Below are 6,000 nucleotides of genomic sequence, written 5' to 3' on the forward strand. Positions count from 1 at the left end.
TGATAAATATGTGTTTTCAGGAACTCTTAACATTCAGGGATGTGGCCATAGAATTCTGCCCAGGAGAGTGGAAATGTCTGGATCCTGCCCAGCAGAATTTATATAGAGATGTGATGTTGGAGAACTTCAGAAATCTGGTTCCCTGGGTGAGGATAACTGTAAAATGTAATTGCTAATGCTCCCTCAGAGTTTCTGAAAAGGCTGCATTTTTTTCTCATGTTCACAAATTAGGGGTGTCTTTAGTCCCATGCTGTTAAATCTTCTAAGAATTCTCTCTTTTCTTTAGAGATCTCCCTTCAAGTTTACATGGACAGCCAATGTCCACTTTATCACTTATAAGGGGCTGCATGATCTGACTGCTGTTCCATTGCTTTTGCAGACATAGGAATATTTGTGTTATTGAGGAGCTCTATGTTAATTTATTTTTTTCAAGTATTGTTTTTGCATCATGTCTAAAATATTTAAGGCAAGTAGTGGACGTATTAGGATTTGGGTCAGAAATCCCAGGAACACCAGAGACAGATGTTGCAGATTTTCTGCTTACTGATTTTTAATCCTATTGCAAATGTAATTCCACAAAAATTCTTTGCTAGCAATTTTTTCAGAACAATAAGCATTTTCCTAAATATGAAAAATGTTGATTGTACTTCAAAATGTTATTGTTTTAGTGTAAACTGAGATTTGTAATTTAAACTCTATATGTGTAAATGAAAAGTTATAATATAGTTTAAAGCATGGGTTTCCAACCTTTTGGCTTCCCTGGGCCACATTAGAAGCAGAATTGTCTTGGGCCACACATAAAATACACTAACACTAATGATACCTGATGAGCTTTAAAAGAAAAGTTCATGAATAGTTTTTATGATATCTACCACAACAGGTATGCAAAATATTCTTACATTCATAGGGTTGGACACCACTTGATTAAAGTATCTACTCACCTTCTAGATTTCTTAAATGTACTGTCATAAACCAGCTTAGAACACTGCTAAATGTATATTATTATTTCTTAATAACTATTATCTTATAATTTTAGTAAGAAGCCTACTGGGATTCTGTTATTGAGATCTATCTGTATCTAAAAATGTGGGTCTCATGCATATACACACCTATATAATTTATATATGTGTATTGTAAATTCTCACTTAACATTGTTGATAGGTTCATGGAAACTGTAAATGAAGCAACATATTCTTTAAAAAAAAATAATTTTGACTGGGCACGGTGACTCAAACCTGTAATCCCAGCACTTTGGGAGGCTGAGGTGGGCAAATCATGAGGTCAGGAGTGCAAGACCAGCCTGGCCAACATGGTGAAACCCCATCTCTACTAAAAATACAAAAAATTAGCTGGACATGGTGGCATGCACCTGTAATCCTAGCTACTCGGGAGGCTGAGGCAGGAGAATCGCTTGAACCCGGGAGGTGGAATTACCATAGTTTAATTGATAGAGCTCTCCCTCTCCCTCTCCCTCTCCCCACGGTCTTCCTCTCCCTCTTTCCACGGTCTCCCTCTGATGCCGAGCCGAAGCTGGACGGTACTGCTGCCATCTCGGCTCACTGCAACCTCCCTGCCTGATTCTCCTGCCTTAGCCTGCCGAATGCCTGCCATTGCAGGTGCGCGCCGCCACGCCTGACTGGTTTTCGTATTTTTTTGGTGGAGATGGGGTTTCGCTGTGTTGGCTGGGCTGGTCTCCAGCTCCTAACCGCGAGTGATCCGCCAGCCTCGGCCTCCCGAGGTGCCGGGATTGCAGATGGAGTCTCGTTCACTCAGTGCTCAATGGTGCCCAGGCTGGAGTGCAGTGGCGTGATCTCGGCTCGCTACAACCTCCACCTCCCAGCAGCCTGCCTTGGCCTCCCAAAGTGCCAAGATTGCAGCCTCTGCCCGGCCGCCACCCCGTCTGGGAAGTGAGGAGCATCTCCGCCTGGCCGCCCATCGTCTGGGATGTGAGGAGCCCCTCTGCCTGGCTGCCCAGTCTGGAAAGTGAGGAGCGTCTCTGCCCGGCCACCATCCCATCTAGGAAGTGAGGAGCGCCTCTTCCCGGCCGGCCACCATCACATCTGGGAAGTGAGGAGCCTCTCTGCCGGGCCGCCCATCGTCTGAGATGTGGGGAGCACCTCTGCCCTGCCGCCCCGTCCAGGATGTGAGGAGCGTCTCTGCCCGGCCGCCCCGTCTGAGAAGTGAGGAGACCCTCTGCCTGGCAACCGCCCTGTCTGAGAAGTGAGGAGCCCCTCTGCCCGGCAGCTGCCCCGTCTGAGAAGTGAGGAGCCCCTCCGCCCGGCAGCCACCTCGTCCGGGAGGGAGGTGGGGGGGGTCAGCCCCCCGCCTGGCCAGCCGCCCCATCCGGGAGGTGAGGGGCGCCTCTGCCCGGCCGCCCCTACTGGGAAGTGAGGAGCCCCTCTGCCTGGCCAGCCGCCCCGTCCGGGAGGGAGGTGGGGGGGTCAGCCCCCGCCCGGCCAGCCGCTCCGTCCGGGAGGGAGGTGGGGGAGTCAGCCCCCCGCCTGGCCAGCCGCCCCGTCCGGGAGGGAGGTGGGGGGGTCAGCCCCCCGCCTGGCCAGCCGCCCCGTCCGGGAGGGAGGTGGGGGGGTCAGCCCCCCGCCCGGCCAGTCGCCCCGTCCGGGAGGGAGGTGGAGGGGGTCAGCACCCCTCCCGGCCAGCCGCCCCATCCGGGAGGTGAGGGGCGCCTCTGCCCGGCCGCCCCTACTGGGAAGTGAGGAGCCCCTCTGCCCGGCCACCACCCCGTCTGGGAGGTGTACCCAACAGCTCATTGAGAACGGGCCATGATGACAATGGCGGTTTTGTGGAATAGAAAGGGGGGAAAGGTGGGGAAAAGATTGAGAAGTCGGATGGTTGCCGTGTCTGTGTAGAAGGAGGTAGACATGGGAGACTTTTCATTTTGTTCTGTACTAAGAAAAATTCTTCTGCCTTGGGATCCTGTTGATCTGTGACCTTACCCCCAACCCTGTGCTCTCTGAAACATGTGCTGTATCCACTCAGGGTTGAATGGCTTAAGGGCGGTGCAAGATGTGCTTTGTTTAACAGATGCTTGAAGGCAGCATGCTCCTTAAGAATCATCACCACTCCCTAATCTCAAGTACCCAGGGACACAAACACTGCGGAAGGCCGCAGGGTCCTCTGCCTAGGAAAACCAGACCTTTGTTCACTTGTTTATCTGCTGACCTTCCCTCCACTATTGTCCTGTGACCCTGCCAAATCCCCCTCTGCGAGAAACACCCAAGAATGATCAATAAAAAAAAAAAAAAAAAAATTTGATAGAAACAAGTGTTATGTTTGAATGCATATAACAACATTGTTTTATTTAACGATGCAGTTTTCAAGAACCTATTTTGAACATTAACTGAGGACTTACTGTACTTCTGTGTTTGTGTGACATGGATTTTTCTGATACATAAAAATGGCATAACTATATATTTAATGTGTACAATGTAATGATTTGATATGCATGTACATTGTGAAACAAAATACAGTCAAGTTGATGAACATATCTATTACCTCAAATTTTTTTTGTAGTAAGAACACTTAAGATCTACCGTTGTAGGCCGGGCATGGTGGCTCACACTTGTAATCCCAGCACTTTGGGAGGCTGAGGTGGGTGGATCACGAGGTCAGGAGTTCGAGACCAGCCTGGCCAACATGGTGAAACCCTGTGTCTATTAAAAATACAAAAATTAGCCGGGTGTGGTTGGACGCACCTGTAATCCCAGCTACTCAGGAGGCTGAGGCAGGAGAATTGCTTGAACCCAGCAGGGAGAGGTTGTAGTGAGCCGAGATCACGCCACTGCACTCCAGCCAGGGCAACAGAGTGAGACTCTGTCTCAGGAAAGAAAAAAAAAAAGCAAATTATAAGCATACATTACAGTATTACTAACTATAAACACAATGCTATTTGGCTAATCTAATGCTAATTTACATTAGATTTCTCAGACTTGCTCAATTTATAACTAAAAATTTGTACTCTTTGAACAACATCGCCTCCTATTTCCACCCTCAGACACTAACAACCACTATTCTACACTCTGCTTCTGCTGGGCGTGGTGGCTCACACCTGTAATCCCAGCTCTCAGGGAGGCAGAGCTGGGAGGATAGCTTTAGCCCAGGAGTTTGAGACCTGCCTGGGCAATATAGCAAGACCCCGTGCTCCATAAAAAGAAAGAAAAAAAAAAGACAAAAAAATAATAAGTGTAACTACACTCTGCTTCTATGAGTTTATGTTTTTAGATTTCTCATCTAACTTAAAACAAGCAGTTTCTTTGTCTTTCTGTGTTTGGCTTATTTCATTTAGCATAATGTCCTCCAGGTCTGTCCCTGTTGTAAATGGCTAGATTTCCTTCTGTTGACGGCTGAATAGTATTCTGTGTATATATACACACGCACCATATTTTGGCTATTGTAAACAACACTACAGTGAACATAGGGCTGAAGATATTTCATCAAGATAGAAATTTTATTTCCTTTGGTAGGATGCCCAGAAGTGGTATTGCTGGATTATACAGTATTTCTATTTTTATTTTTTACTGGTTTTTATGATGACTTTATTTATTTACATCTCACCAACAGCATACAGATTTCCCTTGTATGTATGTCTTCAATGGGAAAAAAAGTAACCTTTTGTCTATTCTTGAATGGGTTATTATCGTTGTTTTGCTTTGAATTCTAGAAGTTTTTTGTATGTTTTGGATATTAACTTCTTGTTAGATATATGGCTTGCAAATATTTTCCTATGTTATAGGGTTTAAAAAAATTTTTTTCTTTGCTGTGCAGAAGCTGTTCGATTTGATGCAGTCCCACTTGTTTGTATTATTTGTTGCTATGCTTTGATCTCATCAAAAAAGTTAATGCCAAGACCAATATCAACAAAGTTTTTTTTTTTAATATGTTTTCTTCAGGAGTTTTAAGGTTTTATGTCTTACATTTAAGTCTTTCATTTTGAGTTAATTTTGGGGTATGGTATAAGAAAATATTTTACTTTTATTCTTTCACTTGTGGATATCCAGTTTTTCTGGCACCATGTATTGACAAGACTGTATTTTCTGCATTGTATATTCTTAGTGGCCTTGTCAAAGATTAGTTGACCTTGTATTCCTGGTTTTGTTTCTGGGCTCCCTATTTTGTTCCATTGGTTTTTGTATTTGTCTTTACGCATATACCATACTCTTGATTATTATAACCTTTAAATAAAATTTGAAATTAGAGAGTATGATACCCTCGCATTGTTCTTTCTCAAGATTGCTCAGGTTATTTAAAGTTCTTTAAGGTTACACTTAAATTTTACAATTGTGTTTTCTATTACTGTGAAAACTGCAACTAAAACTTTGATAGGGATCACATTGAATCTATAGATCATTTTGGATAATATGATACTTTGACAGTGTTAGTTATCCTAATGGAATATGTCTACATTTATTTGTGTCTACTTCAATTTCTGTCATCAATCTTATTGTATTTAATGTATAATTTTTTTATTGGTTATATTTATTTTAATTAAGTTTCTTATTTTTATACTATTGCAAGTGGAAATTGTTTCTTTTTTTGGAAAGTTTGTTGCTACTGTACGAAAATGCAAAAAATATTTGTATGTTGGGCCAGGTGCAGTCTCTCATTTCTGTAATCCCTGCCCTTTCAGAGTCCAAGGCAGGTGGGTCACTTGAGGACGGGAGTTTGAGATGAGTCTGGACAGTGCAGTGAGACCCTGTCTCCAAAAAAAAAAAAAAAAAAAGAAAAAAAAACCCACAAGTATTTTTATGTTGATTATGTATCTTGATACTTTAATGAATGCATTTACTAGTTCAAACAATTTTTGTTGTTTTACTCTAGGGTTATAATATATATATGCATGATCTTATTACCTACAAACAGTAACATTTTTACTTCTTTTCCAAGCTGGAGAGCTTTGTTCTCCTTTTCCTTGCCCAATTGTTCTGAAAGAAACTTCCAGAAATATGTTAAGGAAGCTGTGGCCCTGGAGGCAGGCCTGCAGAT

General features: G+C 43.6%; 1 pseudogene, besides 1 other annotated feature; it reads left to right on the top strand.

Annotated features, from left to right (window-relative positions):
• Positions 18 to 142, top strand: ZNF519P4 (zinc finger protein 519 pseudogene 4; annotated as a pseudogene).
• Positions 1,622 to 2,301: an enhancer, noted in NCBI's record as "H3K27ac-H3K4me1 hESC enhancer chr4:388927-389606 (GRCh37/hg19 assembly coordinates)". NCBI's record gives its function as "activates a minimal SCP1, AML or CMV promoter by ChIP-STARR-seq in naive H9 embryonic stem cells {active_cell/tissue: H9 hESC(naive)}" and the evidence as "EXISTENCE:reporter gene assay evidence [ECO:0000049][PMID:30033119]".

Source organism: Homo sapiens, chromosome 4 (genome assembly GCF_000001405.40).
Source record: "Homo sapiens chromosome 4, GRCh38.p14 Primary Assembly".
Lineage (NCBI taxonomy): Eukaryota > Metazoa > Chordata > Mammalia > Primates > Hominidae > Homo > Homo sapiens.